The following is a 24461-nucleotide window of genomic DNA, read 5'->3' on the forward strand; positions in this document are numbered from 1 at the left end:
GTATGGCACATTTTTTACAATTAATGACCCATTAACTATTGACCCATTATTGTTACCTAAATTCACCGTTTGTTGAGATTCCCCTGGTTTTTCCCTAATGCCCTCTTCTTGCCATTCAGGGTCCCGCATGACATTTTGTCATCGTGGCTCCTAAGGCTCCTCTCAGCCCCGGCTCTCAGTCACTGTCCTTATTTTTATGGCACTTTGGAGGACTGGTCAGGTGCCTTGTAGGATGTCCCTCTACTGGGATAGGTCTGATATTTTCCTCATGATGAGTCTGGGGCTGTGGGTGTTGAGGAGGAAGACCACAGGGATGAAGTGCCATTTTCATCGTGCCACAGCCAGGGTCCCCGCTGCCAACATGATGTTTCCCTGTTGTGATGCTGACCTCGAGCACCCGGCCACAGTCATTTTCTGCTTCTCTTGGGAGACTTTTGACCCACAGGGGTTCTGCTTTTCTCTGCCAAAAGTATCTGGTACCTGCCTCATCTCTCTGCTGCTGCATGCGTTTCCTTTCGTTGTAACCTCTGCCCCCTGCCCCCAGGAGTTTCCCCACTCACCCCACTTATGTTTCCTGTGATGCAGGGTGCAATTAGTGTTTCCAGAGCAGAGTTAACCTAGGCCCTTATCAGAGCTGCTGTGTGAGACTAAGTTCATTATAGTCTTTACCCAAACCAGAACTTTATTGGAGACATAAATTACTTTTATTTTCATTGAAAATATTTGAGATGAACTATATTAGAATCCTCGCTGAGAAAATATACCCTGGACCTATAATCAGTGGAGAGGTGCTACCTATAAAAAAAAGAAAAAAGAACCGTAGGGTAGACTTTTGCACTGACACCTATTTTATATTTTATTATTTGCCCTGTACTATTTCGTCAACTTCCATCCCCTCTCCTGGTATTTATTAGCAGATGGGCATAGCTTTCTCCCCCTCAGAGAACCTTCAAAAGAGTGAAGCACATGGCAGATTCTCTCCCAGTGAGCAAAAGGCCAGCTGATGCTCAGTGCTGAAAGACAGACAGCCTTGGGTCCTCACATGTAGGGGAGAAATATTTCCAAGGTAAATAGACTAATAATTTTTAAGATAGAATTTTTGAAGGTTGCTTTTGCATAGTGAGGTTAAAAATGTCTCAGACAGGAAGGATAGAGGATACCAATTTTTCACCCTGGACCTCTGTCAGTCCCTTGCCTTCTGTTGATGTACTGTGGCCTCCCAAGTGTGTCTGACATCCTCGTAAATTCATTCTTCCTTCCTGTTCTGTTCGAGATCCCTCCAAAGTCAGGAGACACTGGTGATGTGGCTGCATCTTTCTCTGCCTCTGTGCAGCCAGGTGAGGAACAAAAAGCACAGGATGTCTGTCCATCCCTGCCTAGCCAACGAGTCTCTTGGGCCAAACATGCCCTTTTGTCCTCTTATATTTCATCTCTCTCCTCTCCCAGGTACAGAGGACAAATGAATATAGAAGGGTCTTCCTGGCTTGCTTGATTTCTCCCTTTGAAGAGCTTTCACCTTAAGGGCCGATTCCTCTCCTCTGCATGAGGGGCCATTTTCTTTTATCCTTTTTTTGTTTTTGTTTTTTGTTTTTTTGAGACAGAGTCTCACTGTGTTGCCCACTCTGGAGTGCAGTGGTGCAGTCTATAGGCATGCACCACCACGCTTGGCTAGTTTTTTGCTTTTTTTTTTTTTTTTTCAGAGGTGGGGTTGCACCATGTTGTCCAGTCTGGTCTCTAACTCTTGGGCTCAAGTGATCCCCCTTCCCAAAGTGCTGGGATTGCAGGCATGAACCACCCACCATGCCTGGCTTAGGGCCATTTTCTTATGAGCCCTTTGCCTTCAAGTGGATGACAAAGATGTTTTTTGTGGAAAAAAGTCAACTCCTGCCCTTCTCTGAAGTCCATGCTATTGACAACTTTAATAATAAAAGCCAAAGTTTATGCTCTTTTTCTCCCCCATCCCAGCTTAAGACAAGAAGAAAAAGATTTTCCCCCCGTTTTTTTCTTCCTTTTAAAATTGAGGGAGAAGTTATGAGCATAACAAAACTCTCATCTAGAAAATGTTCCCGAACCTGCAATTACTGGAGTGTGGCCACCTCATCCGGAACTCCAGGACGCATTTCCACATAATGTCCCTTTTAAAGGTTATTATCTACATCATGCCATTTCTGTTGCCCTCATCTTTTCCCAGTCTCATTTCTTAGAGGCTACCTAAGGTTTCTCACCCAGAAAGAACCTTCATAATAATGAACTATACCTAATAAGCCTTTCCTAGTTAGGGGGCCATTTGGGGAAGAAAATGGATAGAGTGGGAGAAGTACTTTTGAGATGAGATGGACTAATGATTTTTCAAAGTAGATTTTTAGAAGGTTATTTTTCATGGTGGTAATAAAAACTTCCTAAGAGGATAGCAGGGCTGTGGGATGCTGGTTTTCTCCACAGACCTATCCCTGTCTTACCTTTTGCTTGTGAGCTTTTTATTTTGAGACAGGGTCTCGCTCTGTCACCCAGGCTGGAGTGCAGTGGCGCGATCTCAGCTCACTACAACCTCTGCCTCCCAGGTTCAAGCGATTCTCCTGCCTCAGCCTCCCAAGTAGCTGGAATTACAGGTGCCCTCCACCACACCCGGCTAATTTTTCTATTTTTAGTAGAGACGCGGTTTCACCATGTTGGCCAGGCTGGTCTCGAGCTCTTGACCTCAGGTGATGCATCCCAGGTGTTGGGATTATGGGCGTGAGCCACTGTGAGCTTTGTCTGCTGAGTTTCGGGAGCTCATGGAAGTTATTCTCCTTTGAGGGCTGTCAGGACCATTTCCATGCTTGGGATATTTGTGAGGTGCTCCCCCCATGAAGATGTCTTTATTGATGATAATTACTCATCCCAAAACATAGCCCGCAGCCATCCTTGGATGTACAGCTTGTAGTGCTGTAGTGCCTGGAGCTGGGAGGAGGTGCTGACTGCCAGGACTGACGTCTTCAGACTGATTCGTCTAAGCTCGGCCAGCCCCTGCCCTGCTTCCTCTTCCACCTCCCTAAAGTTGGATGGCCAGATTTTGCAAATAAAAATACAGAACTCCCAGAATACGTAATTTTTTTTTAGCATAAGTATGTCCTGAACATTGCATAAGACATATTTATGCTAAAAATGATTTGTTGTTCACCTGAAACTCATATGGAACCAGTCATCCATATTTTATCTGCCAACCCTTCCCTAAGGCAAAGCGGTAGAGACCTCGGACCCTCGTCCTTTCTGGCATATTCCTCTCTGGGGGACTTCATCTGCTTGAAAATTTCCCAAATCTGATTTTTTCTTCTTAATCCTGATCAGTTTGGGCATTCCTGTTCATCCCTGCTCAGTCGGCCTGGGGCCTTTCTCACAGCTGGGTTGATTTCTGGGCCTTCTGTTTTTCAAACACTAAACTGGTTACCTCTGAAGAGCTGGGAAGCTGGTTCCCATCCACCAAGTGTCCTGACCCCCCAGTTTCCTCTGGAATCAGTGCATCTCGATTTCTCTCTCTCTTCCTCTCTACTTCTCATGTGGTCTCTGCCCACCCCTCTGCCTGGGGTTGCTTGGCTTAGGTAAGGCCTGGCCTTTTCAAGACCTGGGGCACTTTAGCCAAACACCCTGACCAGAGGAGAGGAGCAGCCAGTCGCCTAGATTGTCCAACCTTGACTTTGCCACAAAGGAAAGGCCACATTTGCTTTCTTTGTTTTCAAAGCTAATACATGGAAGAAGAAGGCTTAACTTTCTTTTCTCTTTGAGATTCGTGAGGGAGACAGCATCAAAGCTGCACCCTTCTGGCTTAGAAAATACACCCAGAAGCTATAATGAGCACCAAGATGAGATCTTATATACAGGGTACATTTCTATGCTAAAACTATTTTAAATTTTATTATCCACCTCATGCTATTTCATCTCCTCTCGTCCTCTCCCCCTTGTATCTATTAGAGCCTGGGTATGGATTTCTTTCCCTGAGATAAGTTTCATAATCACGAAGCATACTTGACAGTCACACACAGCAGACGCAGGGCCGGAAGAGGTTCAGCAAGGAAAATGGTAGCTGTGTTTTCCTCTCTATGAGAGAAATATTGGAATATTGGAGGTAAAATGGATGAATACATTCCCCCAAATAGAAGTTTTGAAGGTTGCTTTTGCATAGAGAAGTTGAAGACTCCATGAAGTGATAGAAAGCATGTAGATATGACAATTATTTTTCTTTTGTTCCCCTCACCCAGCATCCTTTGGGGTACAGGCCCACTTCCCATTTTTCTTCCCCTTTCTCCACATTGACTTTTTTTTTCTTTAATAAATTTTTATGATGGCCTGAGTGAGAAAACCAAACCAAACCCATTCCCAGCGCTTCCAGCCCTCAGGTTTTGTTGGATGTTCATGCAATTTTCTCATTATTTTTCTGTCAGTGTTCATAGAAACAGTGTAAACTACTTGATTTCAAAACCATTATGTTAGTTTACTGCATTATCATTTAAGCTGTGTATTCTTTTGTGATTTGAATTTAGTCATAACATATTTTAAAAGATAAGCCAAGAAGATTTCTCGAATACATTTTTGATGACAACTGCTTACGGTTCAAGTTTCCCCCCTTCTTTCATCTTTTATGTGACTTTCATTTTACATCCTTGATTTAGTTATTCTTTCTTTCTGTAAACACTTTTTTTTTTTTTTTTTTGAGATAGAGTCTCGCTCTGTCGCCCAGGCTGGAGTATAGTGACCTTGGCTCACTGCAACCTCTTCCTCCTGGGTTCAAGCGATTCTCCTGCCTCAGCCTCCCGAGTAGCTGGGATTACAGGCGCGCGCCACCACGCCTGGCTAGTTTTTGTATTTTTCGTAGAGACAGCGTTTCACCATGTTGGCCAGGCTGGTCTTGAACTCCTGACCTCAGGCGATCCGCCCACCTTGGCCTCCCAGAGTGCTGGGATTACAGGCGTGAGCCACCGCACCCGGCCATCTGTAAGCATTTTAAGCAGACCTTGTGACTTCTATTGAGAGAAGATTCTGGGGCAGCACAGTCTTACTTCTCCAGTTTTGTCTCACTCAAGAAAATACCCAGGTAGACAGCCCTGTGCTATGGTGAACTGGTTCCTCCAGCCCCCACCCCTGCCTAAGACCACCCCCAGGGGAGGATTCAGGGAAGTGGAAGCGTGGAAGACTCTAAAGATTACCTTCTCTCCCCTTGGGGAAGGTTTGTGTATTTTTTATTCTGTTCTTCTCACCCCCACCCCCACCTACCCCCACAGTCCCCCAGCTGCTGTCTATCCTCTGTGCGGAATTGTGTGCCTGCCACAAGATTCCCCTCCTGCGGCATTCTCCACCCCTTCTGCAGTTGGAATTTTCTGGATGCTTGACATTGTTTACACTCTTCTTCGGACAAGGGTTAAAGGCTACCTCCCATTTTCTGTCAGATCATAGATGTCCTTTCCTCTATTGCTTTAGAATTGCCAAAGAGACTCCTTTTGTGAGTGGTAGAATAGAATCCTTCAGGAAAGATGTAAAGGCTTTTTCTACACCTCAAAAATGGACTTTCTAGGCAGTTCTAATAATACATCAATTGCTGCTCTTTTAAAAACATCTAGAAATGAGATTTACTGATTGATTTGGTTGGTTTGAAAATTATTTCTAGGGGCCGGGCGCGGTGGCTCACTCCTGTAATCCCAGCACTTTGGGAGGCTGAGGCGGGCGGATCACGAGGTCAGGAGATGGAGACCATCCTGGCTAACACGGTGAAACCCCGTCTCTACTAAAAATACAAAAAAATTAGCCGGGCGTGGTGGCGGGCGCCTGTAGTCCCAGCTACTCCGGAGGCTGAGGCAGGAGAATGGCGTGAACCCGGGAGGCGGAGCTTGCAGTGAGCCAAGATGGCGCCACTGCACTCCAGCCTGGGCGACAGAGCGAGCCTCCGTCTCAAAAAATAAATAAATAAATAAATAAATAAAAATATTTCTAGGGAAATACTCTTCCTTTTTATTCCCTCTCTTTCCTAAATGTTGCTTTTGTCGTCCTACCTGTATTTTCAGGTAAGCTTTTGGGTTTGTGTGTAACTGAGCTTGTAAATTTTTAATGCATTTTAACCAGACTGAAGAAATTTACAGGAAGATAGAGATGCTACTGTGCGTCTAGGAGATAGTTTCTGAGGTAAAAAAGAAAAAAAAGTCCTATAATTAAAGTTTTATATTGTAAAATAATTTCTACAGCTGGTGTGAGGACAAAGGAGAGACTTCTTAGAATTCTGTAAGAATTTGGCCCCTCTCTTCCTATTATTCCTCCATTCCTCTTTGCTACCCCACGTCTCAGCTTCCAAGTTACATGCGACCTTGAGGTTCAAGTCTCCATGATCTCTTCATAGCAGAGCAGAGCTAAGTCTTGATATTTTATTCCTTGCTTTGGTCTAAAAGAACTCATAACCGGCCCCCTCTATTTTTTTTTAATCAGAACCCACAGAAACCATTGAGAGGCTTTTGCTGAAAAAAAAAAATGCCACTTGAGCTGCATTGCTAAGGGTTGCAGTTCCCGAAGTACTCTCTCTTTTGAGGTGGAAATCTTGAGAAAAGAAGCCAAGTTGAAAGTATTTCGGTGACCCCACAGTCCACCCGGTTGAGCTGCTTTTATTACAAACTTTTATACGTTTATAAGAAACATATATAAGAAAACTTTTGTAAGAAACGTTTATAAGAAAATGACACTTGTAAAATAAGCCAGAAAGCGTAGATTCTTGAGTAAATTTCTGTATGTGAAAGTTTTTAAAGAGTATTTTGGGCAATGTTTATTTCTTTCCTCTTTATCTCAGTCCTCTTGTCTTAAACAGTATTGAAGAAATGCTGTTGAATTTGGTACCTGAATAGGATTTTATATTACTGAAATATTCAAATTGACTGTTCCTTTAGTATTGTTTAGAAGAAATATCTGGGTGAAAGGAAGTTTTCTGCTTTCCAAATGCTTCACTTTCCTCTACGCCACAAAAAATAAGAGAACTGAAAGAGAAGAAAGAAAAGTACAATCGCCTAAGTACTCCACGAGATGGAATATCTAAACACGTTATGAAAACAGAACAATATTCCCCCATCGTCTTTTGCTGGTTTTCTTGTCGAATTAAGTTTTACTCGTCTGAAGTCTTGGTTTGAGCGAAGCCCTAAATGCTCCTTCAATATTTGTTGCTTCACAAAGGCTGGACTTAGAATGTTTTCTTTCCTAAGGTGATTAGAAAACCAAAATTGATGACGCCAACTCTAATATTTTCTTTCTTGTTTCTGTTTCTAGTTTGACAAGAGCCCATTTTTCCCCCCTCAGGATTAATGAAGGAGAGAAGGGGAGATCTTTCTTCCCAGCTATTATTATTGAAATGGATCAATTTCTCCTTTTTAAGGATGCAAATCTTGAGGAAAAATGAGCTCTCTCCAATACCTTAATTATATTTCAAGAAATGGGCTGTTGTTTATGAACTCATCCAGTATTGAGAAACATTGAAAATAATCATTCAAACAGTAGATACTCTTGATTTCAATTTTGGCATCATATATTTCAGAAGGTATTTTCACTAATTATATTTTTTCTCCTCATATATCCTTTTGCTGTCTAAATTTTAGATACACACTTGTGGTCTAGGCACAAATATTAACGATTGATTTTAAATATGACTTTCCGCTAAATATTGTTTGGAAAAAGAAAAACAAATCTCTAAATGGGAAATCTTAAATTGATTACCTTTTATCAAAGAAATAAGAGAAATGAGTACCACTAAGAAAAGTAATTTCTGAAATAAAATGTATGATTACTTTAGAAGAGACAAACTTTCAAAAAATTGCACTAGGAAAGAGAAGTACCCTGGTATGGGTTGCTAGATTTTGATAAATGTATTTTTCTGCTCTTTCGATGAGTCCTTCAGCCACATCTCTCTGAGGAACCAGGGCTGAGGCTTCATCACCAAGTCAACCCTCCTTAGATGGTTTTGTGAGGTGGCATTTTAGCGATTCCTCAGGCTGGTCACCTCAGACTCTCAAAGCAGATGAAGCGCCCTGGTGGTGTGGAGATGGGATGATTCATAACCCATCTCCTCTGTGGCATTTACCACAATACCAATCATTGTGTAATTCTGTCCTATTTTGTTTTATCTTCAGCTACGTGTATACTACAACAAGTACATAGAATAGAGCTTCTTAATTATTAGCAATAAACCTGTATTTAACTCCAGGGCAAGGCAGGGCAGGGGATGAGGGAGACCTCTATTCTTTCCCGTTGTCTTATTTACTTTCCCTCTTAATGGAATCTTTTCTTTTGAATTCAGCACATACCTAAGGTTTTAAGTGATTGAAATATTTTAACTGGATTTTTTTCCCCCACTAACATAGTTTAGGAAAATTCCTCTGAGGCTGAAGTTATCAACGCAGCTGCCTTTCATTGAAAAAATAGAAAAGCAAAGAAAACTGCTCAGACAGGTACTTTTAGAGGTAAAAGGTTTACCTAATCACGTTGAAGAGGTCGAATAGCTAAGTATTATGTGAGGATGGTGACGTAATTCTCTGAAATCAAGTAGATGAGAGTTATTTCTTCTTTTTATCCTTTGCACTTGTGTTACTCTGCCATAAGTAGACAGAGGGAGGTGGGAGGAGACACCCTTGGTGTTTGTTGTGCCCCATCTCTCTGTCACAAATCGCCTCAAAATGTTTTCCCAAGGAGAAACAAAATGGCAGCCTGAACCCTAGGACTCCCTCATCCACTCACTCCCTCCTTGTTTCTCTGACTAGAACTAATGGCTCTGTACCATTATTTTTCCTGTAAGAATTAATAGGGAGATATTCTTTTCCTAAAGCCATTAGTTAAGTAATATTGCTTACAGAATTGCTGAAACAGGATAACATCTCCTTCCCCAGAGTGTAAATCTTAAGAAATGATGAGGCAATTGCTTAAACACATCAATTATATCCCAAAACCTGAACTTTTCTCTCTACAATTTTCATTTAGAGTTAAGAAAGTTTGAAATTAATGATCCATAAAGTAGATTCTCCTGATTCAATTTTGGCACTGAAGAATGCAAATAATATTAACAATTTTTTTTTCCCTTCATTTAGTTTTCTTTCTTCCTCACAATTTATCCTCTCTTTATTTTAGCGCATTCTCTTCTTGTCTGGGCATGATTAAAGTTTTGACTTACCAAAAGATTTTAAGCATACTTTCCCCACTAAAAATGTTTTTTTGGAGAAAATGGTAAGTGAAGTGTTCTTCAACTGATTGCCTTTCATCAAAGAAAGAGAAGACGAATGAGAACCATAGAGAAAAGTGGTTTCTGGGAAAAAAAACAGATTTAAAACTATTACTGAGAGAGGCAAAGTTTCAAAAAAAATAGGATAGTACAGAAATACTCTAGATTTGGCTAGAGGTGGAAAAAATATATTTTTCTCTTCCTTTCATGAATCTCTCAGTTTTTCTGTGCCTGAAAAACTAAATTTTAGTTACTGGTGTGTGAGGATTTATCTCTGTCTTTCAGCAACCTGTTCTGATCTTCTGGTAAGAGGACTGATTTGACTTTTAGTTTTGCCTGAGCATATTCAGGTATAATACACTTTGGGGGTTTTCCTCATTATTTTGAGTTTGAATTTTAGAACCAATATGATTATGTGTCTCTTATTTTTCTTTCCAACTGATAACGCAATATCATGTTTGTTGCAAAAAAGAAAGTAGCATTGACTTATCCAAGGAAAGCCTGACAACTTCCAGCCACACTGCCCCTGAGGCCATCAGAGTTAGGTTGGCACACATCCTTCTACATCTTTCTCCACTCATAAACAAATACAGACAGACACCTTTTGTTGTTGTTTTTTACACAAAGGCTCATACCAGATGTAGTAATCGCCAATTCTTTTCTTCTTAATATGTTTTGTATATAACTCTAGGCCGATACGTATATAGATTGTTTTAATAGTGGCATACAATCCCCTAGTTTGGATGTACTACTATTTATCTGTTCATCCCTTCCTTTATTGATGGATGTTTATGTTGATGCCTATTGTTTTTCCTACCACAACTATTGCTGCAGTACACATTCTTGCCTGATTTCCCAAAGAGCAATTGCTGGATCAATGGTTTTATACTTACTTATTTCACCTTATAAGATACCACCAAATTACTTTTCAAAAACGGACTTACTCTCCCATCAATATTTTTAACAGTATTTTTAAAAAGAAACTTTGCTTCAGCAAGAGAGCAAACAAAGCCACGGTGAAGCTTTGCTATCAGAGTGGGCGGCGCATGTGAGTTTCTTAAATAACAAGAGGTCACCACCAAGCGGCCTCTCATTCAAATTCAGGCCACAGATGTGTTGGGTAGCACAATGCTACTGTCGTTTTGAAAACTAATTAGTTATGAATGTTTGAAAGCATGTGAAATACAGATTTTGATTTTTCTCCTGAAAAACAAACAGATCTGGTGAGCTGGACCCTCCGGCCTTCATTGTCTCAGTTGGCTGGAGCTAGGGGTCAGCCGCCCCTGGGGCCTGGGCTTGCTGTTTGGCCATCCCCAGGCAGGCACCCGAATTAGCAATTTGTCTGGCTCCTGTAGCATTTGAGTTTGTGATCTTTGGTTTAAACTAGGGTTTCTCAACCTGGGCACTGCTGACATTTGGCGACACTCCATTATTTGTTGCAGTGTGGGATGTGTAGCAGGGTTGCTGGTCTCCACCCACAACATGCCAGGAGCATCCCCTCCACTCCGAGTCAGGACCACCCAAAATTTCTCCAGACATCACCCTTGCTTCGGAACCACTGGTTTTTAACAAACCCACAAAATGCATTTTCCTCAGTCAATTTTGAAATAAACTTTTCAAAGACTGTTCCTGGGCAGTTTTCATTATTTCATTTGATGAAGGAACACTGTTGAATTCTGTACACGACCAAGCTTTAAAGTCACTGAAATGTTTCAAATCAGCCCCATTCACTGAATTTGGAGAAAGTATCTGAGAGGAAAAAGTGATCAAAACACGTTCATCTCAGGAACAGAAATGGAGAGACAACGGTGATTACATATGGTTTCTGAAGTAAAACCTTTACCTAATTACACACACATAAAAGATACAATTTCTAAATACTGTATGAAGAGGGTTGAATACATCTCTGGCACAAAGGTAGACATTGGCTTTGTTCACTTTGGTTTTCTTCGGTGGTTTCTTTTGTTTGTTCATCACGGGCCTGGGCCAGCTCACCTCTCCCTCCGCAGTCTGTCTCCTTGCGCTCACATAATCCTCCTCTGAAGGGATTTCTGAGGTATTTGGAGCCAGCAAGAGGCCAGGGATGGGTCTGGGGGTCTCTCCAGAGCCCTCTTCTCTCTCTGTGCCTTCACTCTCCTTCTCTGACAGGACTTCCGACATCTTTTCTCATTAGAATTAATGGAGAACTATCCCCAAAGCTATGAAGTCATAGTGCTCTGAAATTGCTGAAACAGAATAATTTCTCCTTCATTCTAGGGTGTAAATCTTGAGGAAAGATGAGAAGCTGTTTCAGGTATATCGATAATGTCCCAGGGAAGAGACCCACATAGACAATTTTCATTTAGCAACAAGAAACTTTTAAAAGAATGTTACACAAAGTATATCAGCCAGTTTCTGTTTTGGCTTTCAATCTTTCAAATGGCATTTTCTTTTTTATTGTCTTTTTTCCTTCTCTAATTTCATAATCCTATTTTCACTCTGTATTTTAAGGGCACACACTTGATGTCTGGACATGACAGAATTTTTAAAGCAAAATTTTAAACACCGCTTTGCACTGAATTCAGGATTTCTGTGAGGGGAGGGTGGTTATCTTGATTGCCTTTCATCAGAGAAATAGAAAAGAGATGAAAATTACTAAGAAAAATGGTTGTTGAAGTAAAAGATTAGTTTATGATTACTTAGAGGCAAACTTTCAAAAGATTGCATTAGGATAGTGCAGAAATACCCGAGGCTGTACTTGATAAATCCATCTTTCTGGTCCTCTCCCCCAACCCTCCCTGCCTGTGCAGCTGAAGTCGGAGCTGCTTCTCACTGCTCACCGCCCACTGACTTCTGATTATTTTTTGATTGGCATTGACATCCAACGTCTCCCATTCTCTCTGCCTGAGAGGAATAAAACCTCTTTCTTCCATCATTTTTAGCCATTTTTTTCGTAAAGAGGCTTCATAAACAAAAAATGTAATAGGATTGCAGAAACAAATGAATTTACTGTCAAAGAAACTTTAGCATAACGTCAGGTATGCAACAGAGACTTAAAGAAAATTGGTTGAATAATTACATGTATAGATGATTCAGACTTAGAAAGCCATCCAGGACAGGGGTGATGTCAGATGATTTACTGTGTGCATAGTTTTGCTCTTTTCCATAGATACAGGTTGGGTTGGGGTCCTATTTCATGGCCACCCAGCACCTTCGTGCTTTTTCTTTCATGCTATTTACTATATTTGCTTGGTGAATTTTTTATATAATTATTTGCTTACTGAATTTCTCCCCCGTTGAACTATAATTATCATGTGGGTGTGTCTGCCTCGTTTTCCACAGAACAAATGCCCTGTGTTTAGCACAGTTCTTGGCACGGTTGTTGGTTGTGCTTGGTGCTCAGTAAATATTTAGGCTCAATAACATAGGCTCGAAAACAGGCTTAAAAATATTTGAATAAATAACTGTCCACAAAGTTATTACTTTTAGAGATCTGCCCAGCTTTCTATAAGTAATTGCTAGCACATTGTGGATCTGTTAATTCCCGGGATGCTTCTAAACAATTTAATCACAGATTAATTAATAGTCTAGGAAATTACTCCTATATTCTTGTTTATATTTGCAGCTTGCTTAGAAGGTTGATTTTATAGACTCATTTTTAACCCTTTTTTTAAATAATAATTCAGTCTTTGGAATCCACATTCATGGAGTTTTGGTGTATTGGGACAAACCAAAAGAAATATATCAAATTACTTACATTTTTAGTTAATGATATTTGAGCAGTGCGTTTATAGCATTTTAATAAGGCCTAGACATTAGGCAGCTGGAAGAAGATTTGGCATTAAAGATGTCTACAGTTATGTTGTAAGTTTCATCATGTTGTTTATTTATTTCATTTTCTTTCTAAGTATTTTACAGTTTCCTGTAGCCTTTTCAAGATGGCCACATTTAAAATTGCTGTAACACTTTAAGTGGCCTCTTCCTCTAAATGCAGTCTGGCAATTATTTCTGAGGGAAGTTATTAAAAACACAGCCTTTAATCAGGGAAAGAACAGCACGGCACAGAGAGCTGTGATGAGAGATGGTCTCTCTAATAAGAGTCCCATAATTGTGTAAGAGCGATCGAATTTCTGAAGATGGCATTAAGACAGTGGAGTTTGTAATTTCTGAGGATGTAGGAAGTGATTCATACAGTGTGATGCTGAAGCCTCAATGGAATCACATTCTGTGATTTAAAATTTGGCCAGGGAACTACTTCCTTTTTGAAAAGGGCCATTCATTTAAAAGCAAGTTAGTGTCCTTCCTCAATAATCCAAATCAGTTTAACACACTTCAGTGACATTATTTGAGCATTTTTCACAATTATTAAAGATAATTCACTTTTCTCTGTAGACTGCAGGGTCAAAAACAAATTAGATCAGTGGATTTTCTTCCTTTACTTTCATAGATGAGTCAGAAGTTATTGGTCAAATGTGCACATGACCTTTCTACTTAAGCTTAAAAACCAAAACAACCTGTTGGGAAGACATTTGGCCAATCTGATTATTTTCTCTACACTAATTGGTTTTACTTCTTCATTGAATTGAATGAATTGCATGGTTGTTTTGTCACTGTGGGGACAGAGCTTAATTCACTTAGAGTGAGCACTTGTGCTTGGTGAACGATGAGGCTAAGGAAATGCATATCATCACCATTAATTTTTGATAATTTTTCATGGGTGAGAATGAAAACATATCTTGAATCCACCCCTTTTTTCCCTTTCTATTTCTGGTGCCCTAGTCAAGCCATCTCATCTGGCCCCTGGATTATCCTAGTAAGCTTGTAACTGTTTTTCCCACCTCTCCTCACCTCTCTCCCGAGTTTGGCTTCAAAATTTAAACTTCTTACCACAGTCACTTGTACCCCACAAGATCTGAGTCCTTGTTGACTTCCCCACCATCATCTTGCCCCTGCCCCTGCATTCACGACTGTCCTTCCACATTGGCCCCCCATGGGTCTCTTGCTCCCGCAAGCTGCTTTCCCCTTTAAGGTCTCTGTATTGTTCCTTCTTTTGTCTAGAATATCCTTTGTGGACTTGTTCTTTCTCACTCTGAAGGTCTCATTTCTGATGTCGCCTTTCTGAGAAGTCTTCCTTGACTATATAAAACAGTCCTCCCTGGCTACTCTTTGGATTAAGCCCCCTCATTACTCTCTTTACTACCCCCTGCTTATCATGAGTCTGTAGTATGCTCCCCTCCATTTCTCATTAGTGTCTGGAATAGCCTCCTGTTAATTGTTACTGCCTGTAATACTCTCATTTTCACTCTCGGTAATATCCCCGTCCTCGATTTATTTCCTTTGCGACCCCATCACAATAGGCGTCTGCTTCCTTGTCTTTGCTTCTCTTTCCCCATTACAGTAGAAGCTCTTGAGGGCCAGCGTCACCTTTGTTTTGTTCTTCTCAGACTCTTCAAGGTGGAGCATGGTGCCTGGGTCATTGAAGGGGCCCAGGATGTGGTTGTTGAACAGGTGAATGGAGTACCAAAAGCCTGGTTCTGTGCCATTAGATTACCTGAGTACACGGGAGGGTCAAGAAAGATTGTGTGGAAGAAAAAAGCATTGCTATCTTTCCCAAACTGTGCACTTCTCTACGGATTTTCAAAGTTGATTTGCTCAGGATTAGCACACTTGGTAATCTAGTAACTTACCCCTTGAGATATAAGAAGTGGAACTGTTCTTTTGGTTTAAGATGGAGGATGGAACACATTTATTTACCTCAGCTTTTCTCTAACAACCAACAAGAGGTTAGTAATTAAAGGTGTTTTTAATATATAAGCTCACAAGGAGAAACGACTTGGAGAAGAAATGATGCCACCAGTTTGAAAACTGGAGTGCAGAGTCTGAATGGGAACTGATGTAGCTGACCCCAAGGAATGGAATCCTGATTTAACAGTGAGAAGACTCCCCACAACTCAGACATTCATGGTACCAGGTGTGGCTGAAAACAAGATTGATTGAAAGACTAAGAAGCAATCAGACTTCATTCCCACTCCGTTTCTACTTCTCAGAGCTTGGTAACTTCCCTCACCCTTGGAGAAGACTAGGGGCTTAGTCTCTGGACAGCATACAAAATGCTGGGGGACACTTGGCATAATTAGTTCAGCAGGGGAGTGAGGGGACTAGATTGAAAATGGGGTTTGAGCAAATGTGAATACTGCATATGAGCCCCCAGAATCTCTTCTCTAATTTTGACTCCAGAATGCCGGCAGCCTGGCTTCTATTTTCCAGTCAGGAGACCCGAGGACTCTTCTTGTAGAAGCTGACCAGTACACGTGGAGACCTGCAGATAACTACTTCAGGGTTCCCACTGAAACAGGGCAACCACATAACCTAACAGTAGGGCCCATGGTTGACAGATTGCACTTGTAAAGAACACCAAGTCAGCTTTTTTGTGCCCATTTCCTAAACATAAGCAGCGAAGATTGCTGTATTTCTCAGGAAAGCCACCAACCTAAAGAGAGAAATAAAAACAAACCAATGGAAACAAAGGAACTTGGAAGAGGGACTATGTAGGGGGAGGCAAACTTCAACAACGACAACAACAACAACCCATTATTAACATTGCCGGGGGTAAAAGAGAGGATGTTAGAGCTATGAAGTAAGAACAGGATGCTATAAAAAAAGAACATGGGAAAGAACTCTTAGAAATTAAAAGCATAATAGCAGAAATAGAAACTCATTGGAATATAAAGTTGAGGAAATTCCCCCAAAAGTGAAGCAAAAAGACCAAGAAACAGAACATCACAGCGAAAAGATAAGAAAAATAGAAGATTATACTAGGAGATCCAATAACCCAATAAGGGCAATTCTAGAAAGAGAGAGAAGACAAAACAGAAGGGAAAAAAAATCAGAAATAACAGGTAAGTTCAAGAGTTATATTGTACAACATGGTAACTATAGTTAATGACAATGTTTTGTATTCTTAAAAATTGCTGAGAGTATAAGTGTTCTTGCCAAAAAAAGATAAGCCTATGGGCTAATACATATGTTATTAATAATCTAATTTAGCCAACCTACAATGTGTGTATATTTCAAAACAATGCATTGTACATGAGGAAGGAAAAGGAAAAAAGAAAAACAGAACCACATTTTTCTAAAACCTGAGGACATGATTCAGATTGAAAGAATTGATTGAGTGCCCAGCCAATGAATGAAGATCGACCCAGGCTGTGGTGACACCAGAAATAAAGAAGAGCCTCGGGGATTCCAGAGAACGACATACAAAAAGATTTCATCCAAAGGACCATGAATCATAAATCATATTGTCTCCAGACTTTTCAACAACTGGAACGCAATAGAGCCGTGTCTGCAACCCCAAAGGGAAATGATTTCCGATTTTGAATGTCATACCCAGCCAAGCTGCCAATGACATCTAAAGAGTTATACTTCATGTACCCTTTCTCATGAAACTACTAGAAGTTTTGTGTTAGGAAAGCAGGAGTGTAAACCAAGAAAAAAGAAGTTGTAGAGGTTCAGGAACCAGGAAAGAGGCGAAGAGAATCAGCACAGCGGGGATGAAGGGAGACCCCAGGGGCACAGCCATGCTGCAGAGAAACATGGTCCACTTGGAGCAAATCAGAAAGTTTCAAGGAAACATTTCTCACAGAATGAAATGAAACCTCAGACAATTGGAGAGGTGGTTGGAAAATGATTTTAGAAATGAGTCCATAGAAAACTCAGCAAAATTTTTAAAAAGCAAAATCGTCATTAATCCCAGGGAAAGCAGTTTTCACAAGAAAGGCAACGTAATCGTAGTATACTACAAGATTCAGTGCTGACAGGTATTCTCCTAAACATACTAATATAAACATGGAATATTCGCCTAAATGAAAACAGGCCATAGGGGTTAGAGAACTGTTGAGAAGATAGAGAGGTGGAATGTGTGCTTGTGTGGGGGGTCATGAAGTTTGAAGAGGAGGAGAGCTGGAAGAAGAGGGAAACCCTCCTCTCTCCCCATGAGAAGTCACAGCTACTACTTCCACAAAATGTAGTTCTATAACAATGTTATCAGACATGAAGGAGCTAAAAGTCAAAAGACTCCCGAATGGGAAAAGATGGATGGGTTGGCAGGGGTTGCAGTTTTTCTTAATACACAGTTAGGCTTGACTTTTCAGACTGCACATGTGTACCTTTCATCAAAATAAAAGCAAATTTAAAAGTGGGTCTAGTGCTTCTTCTCTAGTGACACAGTCGTTTTAAGATATTTCTCTGATCTCATATCATGATGGAACCTGCCCTCTCTGAAATTTTGTGATCCTTTTGACTGGTATGCCAGGTCATCAGTGCGGGTGAAGGATGAAGGAAAGACAGGTATGAGAAGTGCTGTTTTGTGGATATTGTCAGGGCCCTTCTTTCCTTCCACAATCACAACAATAACCACCACAACAAAACAACAGCATCACAAAAGCCAACCTCATCCCTTGCTGCCCAGCACTCTAGTGGGAATTAAGACCTGGTTTATATTTCTGGGTTCCCACCATGCATCGAGTGAAACGTCTATTCTGACTACTTGGTAGTATGTCAGAGAATTCAAGCTGATCTAAAATTTACCTAAACAGACATGACCAGGAATACAACTCTGATGAGAAGAAGCAACATGAAATATAGATATATTTTATGATATGTATCATTCAGGGGTTTTTCTACTTTGAGAATTGGTTTTGCCATTTCCTTCCTTCATAGAGTGGATATATTTTATTTGACCAAATGTGAATTGGTTGGAGATAAATTGAGTTCTTGCACACACCCTGTGAGATGAGGGTTAATGAGCTCAGAGGCGATCAAGAAGTCATGGACAACCTCCCAGGAAATTACTCTTTGCTAATTTTATAATTCCAGTCATATGTAAATGTGCCTCTCCCCTTGCAGGTCTGAATCTGCAAGAGGAGCCATCTTGTGCCACCTCAGAATCACCTCCTTGTTGTGGGAAGGAAGAGAAGAAGGAAGGTGACTGCAGACAAACCTTAGGAACCCTCTCTCTTGGTACAAGTTCAAGAATTGTCAGGGAAATGGACAAACGAACTGTGAAGGTGGGCATGATGATTTTGAGCTGCCTCTACCTATTCCTGGTCTAGATGTATAGCCCTGCTTGTTCTTGCTGCTCTTGTTCAGTGTGGCAGAACTTGCTCGGATCACCTTATGAAGATTCGTGGCACAGAAAGCCCATTAAGACAAACAAATAACTCAAAACATTCTGTATCGAATGAGTAGCTTTGGTAGTGCAAACATTGGGATGATTTCTGATGGTTTCTTTAAAAAAAACCCCAAGTATGTTATTACTGCACACCTGAATAGAGAGATGGCTGACAGATGCCACTGCAACATGAAGCCCCCCCAGACAGACTGTGGGGCTGCGTGTTGAAAACCACTAAAATATGTATCCAGACCACATTTGGAAAAACACTCATCCGGAAAAAACCAAAAAACCAAAAAACCCTTCAATACACAGTCCTATAAAATAGTACATCCGCTTCATGAGCGGTAGTGACTTAAAAAAGGAAGCTGAGAACTGGTAAGATAATTGAGTGGTTTTGTTTTTCACAAAGCCAGATAAAAGCACAGGACGTCAGCAACCTATTTTGTATCAATCAGGAGCTTTATTCGAGTTAATGCACCAATTAGTTATTAATGGAAACTTATTGAGGGCGTCATATTGAAGTTCACCCTTGGTAAAGAATCATTAAGACCTCAAGACCTGTTTTCATTGAGGACCACGTTTCTGACCACATTTTTCTTTGTACCAATTAACCTCCCCCCCCACTTTTTTTTTCCTTTGCACTTTGTTGCAGGATATTTCTCCATCTGCTGGTGAGCATGGTGACTGTACTACTCACAGCACTGCTGCCACATCAGGATTATCTCTGCAATCTGACACCTGCCTGGCAGTGGTTAATGACGTGCCTCTACCCCCTGGCAAAGGTCTTGACCTTGGGTTGCTGGAGACTCAGCTGCTGGCCTCCCAGGATTCAGTCTCAACAGATCCCAAACCATACATCTTCTCAGATGCTCAAAGGCCTTCTTCCTTTGGGTCCAAAGGAACTTTTCCCCACCATGACATTGCTACCTCTGTGGCTGCCGTTTGTATTTCTCTGCCAGTGAGAACAGATCACATAGCCCAGGAAATTCACAGTGCTGAATCACGAGACCACAGCCAGACTGCAGGGAGGACTCTGACATCAAGCTCCCCAGACAGCAAAGTCACAGAAGAGGGCAGAGCACAGACCCTCTTGCCAGGGAGACCTTCATCTGGACAAAGAATTTCAGATTCGGTTCCACTGGAGTCAACTGAAAAAACTCATCTTGAAATACCAGCTTCAGGACCAAGTTCAGCTAGTTCACACCACAAGGAAGGGAGACACAAGACGTTTTTTCCTTCCAGAGGCCAGTATGGGTGTGGGGAAATGACTGTCCCCTGCCCCTCTTTAGGAAGTGACGGTAGGAAACGTCAGGTATCTGGATTAATCACTCGGAAAGATTCTGTGGTTCCTTCTAAGCCAGAGCAGCCCATAGAAATTCCTGAAGCCCCTTCTAAATCCCTCAAGAAGAGGAGTCTGGAAGGAATGAGAAAGCAAACTCGAGTAGAGTTCAGTGACACCAGCAGCGACGATGAAGACCGATTAGTTATAGAAATATGAAGCTTCCAGAGAAACATGGTGTCTGGTCAAAAAGACTGTTGACGCTTCACAAGTAAATGTTGTCAGGCTGGCGGAAGAACTAAACTCTATCTGTGAAACACCTACAGATTAGGAAAGCCATTTTGAGTTATTTACAAGCCAACTCCAACCAACTTCTGACCCCCAACTCAGCCGCAGCGTTCCCCAGCTCCCCTTGGGAGTGCTCTGCTCATCTTCAAATGGTGCCAGGCAGGGCAGACATGGCAAGGAAGCAAACTCTGCAAATGGTCAACGTGCACAGTGACTGGGCCTTGACTCCCAGCCTCGTCTTCTGCACCTGTCCCCCACTGCCTCTCTGCAATCAAATGGCACTAACCAAGAAAGCCACCATCAACACATTTCTCCACAAGTGGACCCCACACAGTCGAGGCAACTGGCTTTCTCCATTAGTAAACTGAGGATTTGCTTCCAAGGTGGAGAGCACACTTGGGATAATTGGAGTAGCTTGACAAAGAGACGGGGGTGTGAACTGGGCACAAAGATACTTCTGTTCATTTTGGAGACAAAATTCAGATACATTAAAAAACTGAAGCTTGTTCAGAGTAATTCACGTCCTTGGTGGAGTTGTAAATACACTTCAAAATGCCTATGATCCGGTGACATGCTGATTACTTTTAAATGTTGCACAAATGGTCAATGCTTATTTATGGTCAGATGATGCAAGCACATGCTCTTGTGCCTGGTGCGTTTGCTGTGGAGATCTCTGAGACTGTCGGTTTTTCTAGTTCTTGCAAAGGAACGGTGTTAAAAGTTAATAGAACTGTCTCTCTGTAATGAGTCATTTTTTGAGAGGGAAAAATTCACTTATTTTCCTCTGATTCTTCTTGTCATATTGTGCTCTGAGCAATTTCAATTAGAGGGTTACATTTTAGTAATCTGTACAGCTTCAACTGATGCCTGCTCGTCGTGACGGGAGCCTTTTAGATTTCCTTCAGAAGCTTCAAGGATACAAAACTAATTGGAGTTTTGACGCTGTTTTACATCTCGGTAATTTTATTTTCGGGGCTTAGTGTTACTTTGCTGTCAAATTAAATCAGCCTCTGTATTGTGCACGTCAGAACTGCACAGAGAAAATTCCCCAGTATTCCAAGCCGGTGCGCCCCTGTGCAGAAGAAAACAGATCTACGTCAGCCAGCCCGGGGGGCAAAGCCTCAGTTCCACTGCCTTCCTCTCCCTCTCCTTCCACGGGAGAGGAGAAACTTAAAGAGGTTTACATTGCTGCATTTCAATAAAATTTTATACTTGCTTTTGGTATGATTTTGTACAATTTGAAATTTGTAGCTGAGCTCTTTTGGTGTAACTTTGATGTAATGATGTTCATATGACATCTTGTACTTCAGAGACACAGCAGCAATGCAGAGCATCTCACACATGTGAATACACTTCAGTCAGTCTGTGCCTGTGACTAAGTATGGTCAAATTTCAAGTATCTTCATGTGAATTTTCCAATTTTGGTGTTTTTCATAGAAAACTTCAATGCCAGACCAGCTTCCCTGGTTACTTAGCATATATTTGTGACCATTTCATATGCACTCATAAATATCCAAGGATTTCAGGCCCAGCCAAGAAAAACATAAGAAGGGAGGTAAAAAGGATGTTGGACATTGACTTAGTGTACTTTTTAAACCCAACAAAAGCGATGTGGTGATTATCTCCCTTTTCGAAGGATTCATGCCACTGTAATGAGAGAGGCAGTGTAGGCAAATGGTCTGAGCCTTGGATGGAGATTGAAGTCCTGACTTTAGCTGGGAAATCTTGGTTAAGAGTCTTTCTGTACCTTAGTTTCCCTAAGTGAGAATAAGAGAGTTGGACAAGACGAATGTATCTCCAGGTTCCAATTTTTCTGAGAATGGTTGATAGAGAAGCTGCTCTCTCCTTAAAATGCATGGACTCAATGGCTTGAAGATATTCCCCATGGGGAACCATTGCCACGGAGGCCTTGCATGCAAGAAGTTTGGGTGGGGACAGTGAGGAACTGAAACACAAGCACCTTCCACCAATTATTGCTGTGAAGAACCTGAGCCTGAAGAAGCTCCATCTAATTTTTTCCCCAGAGTTCCAGATTTTAGGGTGCAATCATCCAGCCTATACATGTGGCTCATAGTTCAAAAAATTAAAAGCAAAACCAGAACTCTCCAGTAGGAATGGAGAAAACCTATCTGTAGGCTGAACTGGCTCCTTTGTCTTAGGAGGCACTGGTCAGGGGAAAAAAGCTGTCTTCCAGACCCCTCCTTTCTGGGTGGCTACTGTGGAATCAACGGGGTCACTGGCTGTAAATCAGTAAGTCATAGCTCCAAACAGCACCAACTTCAGGATGATGGTGGAAGCTCTGTCCCTATAGGAGCCACCGTTGCCAGCTGTCACATCCCAACCTAGGTCAAATATGGCGGAATATTGATTTCGTCTCTAACTCCCTGTATCTCTTACAAAGGTAAAGCAGGTAGCGAAGCCACCTTGCTTCCCTGGTCTTTGCCTAGTGGCTGGCAATGTTTACAAGTGTACCTTACTTTATATCAACATGAATTTGTGAAAAAGCTGTATGTCAATGGATTTTTTAAAAATTAAAAATGTATTTTGAATGACCCTAAGGGAGCTGGCTCTTTAAAAGCATCCTAAGGTAAAGATTTTTTTTAAATGAAGAATCTTTTTATAAAGCAATGAACAATCTCTGATTTTATAAATCTTAATTTTCCTATGGGTTTTCTTAAAGTGAAATACAATTATAAGAATACATTTTAAGGGTAACATTAACAACCTAGAACCCAGTTTGGGTTACTAAAAATAAAATGTCAGTATTATCAATTGATAACTACCACAGTTTTATACTCTGCAAGTGTGTACTGCATGATGGTTAAGGAAAAACAAATTTATTTTAGAACAAAGCAAACCAGAGTTTAAAGATCAGGGATTTCCTTCTTTCCCCAGTGCTAATTTTCCCAGTGTTAATTTTATTATATCTTTAGGTAAGGGTCTTAACCAACTGATGCCTCAGTTTCTTCCACAGAGAATAGTTAGAGGGATGCTGTCATGAACTAAGGGAAGGGCACTGAATTTTTTTTTGCCAATATCAAAAGTGACATTTCCCCATGATGTTCAAGACTCACCAGGTTTCTCTCTCCACCTGTACCTACACCCAGCTAGATCTTGTCGTTAAAGATGTATGGAGGGAAGAGGTTTCAATCCTTCCCTCCTTGGCAACCTACATTGTTAAGTGACTCAAAGTCATGTGATTTTTGGTGGACAACTGGAATCCTCCTTCTTGTAAAACACATTGAAAAACAGCTCATCTCTCCTGTTAGGCTTAACCCTTGAGATTTGAGACAAAGCTAATAATCCCCTTTGGTTCACATCTCACAGTAACCAGGAGAACCTATGGTTCATTTGCCAAGTGATTAAAAAAAAAGATGGAGGAGGGTGTCTCTGAATTTTAATGGAAACACTGCCAATAGCATGGTGGGTAACCTAGGGCAAGACAGACTTTTTCTTCCTGAAATCACTCTTCTAAAGCTGAGACCGGAAGAGGAACCTTGCAGAAGTGCACTGTGACCACAGTTCTTGGCATGAAAGATAAACAATTTGCAGTCTCATGCCAAAAAGTATTTCCTTGCATTTACATTCATTACTTAGAATGATCACATTATTCATTTTTTTCCCCAGCACAGAAATTTGCATTTTGCACAGAATTTGCCTGGTGCAGCAGATCTTTATAGTTATGGAAACTGTCATCATTATCGGAATGTGCTGCTGCTCAACTCCCCAGACATAATTTAATATGGTGAGGAGAATATGACCTGCCTGGCTCTATGGGTGATCATATTTCTACTGCTGCAGCAAGCTGGGCTTGTGTATTTTTCCTCACTTCAGTTGTTCTTCCCATAGTTCATGTAGGGAGGCACTTTGGCTTTTGAAACACTACATTTCTCAATATTTAAGCACAATTTATTGTCCTTATTTTTCAGAACCCATTAAATATAAGGGTCAGAACCTAGAAAATCTTATGTGCTGGATTTCTACCCTGTATGATTCTTTTCATCCATGCTTTGCACTTACGTAGGAATATACATAATTTGGTCTGAAGAAGTATAGGAACAGTTGAGCACATTACTTCACCACTGGAAGAATAGGAACCAGGGAAAAACATCAGCCTCTGCCACTTGGAGCACTAGAGGATGACGGAATGTCTTGTATATGCGGTCAACTGTTCAGGATTTACTACTCAATTGGTTGTTCACAATCAGGGAAATGATTGGCTTCTTGGTTGTTTGTTGAACTTTCTTTCTTTATATGGTTAAATTATTTTGTTTTGATAAAAATAAAACTTAAAATGCAAATGTCTCACGTGATTTGTTAACATTTTAACCAAAACCCCTGCAAATCATATGCTTTATGAATTGGACATCTGATTATTCCTAATCATTGACCCAATGCCTCGTTGGCCGTATTGGTATCCCATTCCACTCAACAAAGGGATTAGGTCATGTCAAATGATCTCACTTTCTTGTGGTGCTTCCTTTTCACACATAGCTCGTTTGTCATTATCTGCCATATTTTATAGTCTG

General features: G+C 41.1%; 1 protein-coding gene across 11 annotated transcripts in view; it reads left to right on the forward strand.

The window, feature by feature from the left end:
- The window catches only part of ZNF831 (zinc finger protein 831), a 135726-nt gene extending 111493 nt beyond the window's left edge, over positions 1 to 24233 (forward strand). For all 11 annotated transcript variants that reach the window (XM_047439881.1, NM_001384354.1, XM_047439880.1 and 8 more), the window contains 2 exons: positions 18098 to 18258; positions 19018 to 24233. In XM_047439881.1, coding sequence (XP_047295837.1) covers positions 18098 to 18258; positions 19018 to 19863 — 1007 coding nt within the window. In that variant the 3' untranslated portion in view covers positions 19864 to 24233. The remainder of the gene's footprint in view (positions 1 to 18097; positions 18259 to 19017) is intronic.
- The last annotated feature ends 228 nt before the right edge of the window (positions 24234 to 24461 follow it).

This window comes from Homo sapiens, chromosome 20 (genome assembly GCF_000001405.40).
Source record: "Homo sapiens chromosome 20, GRCh38.p14 Primary Assembly".
NCBI classification, from domain to species: Eukaryota; Metazoa; Chordata; class Mammalia; order Primates; family Hominidae; genus Homo; species Homo sapiens.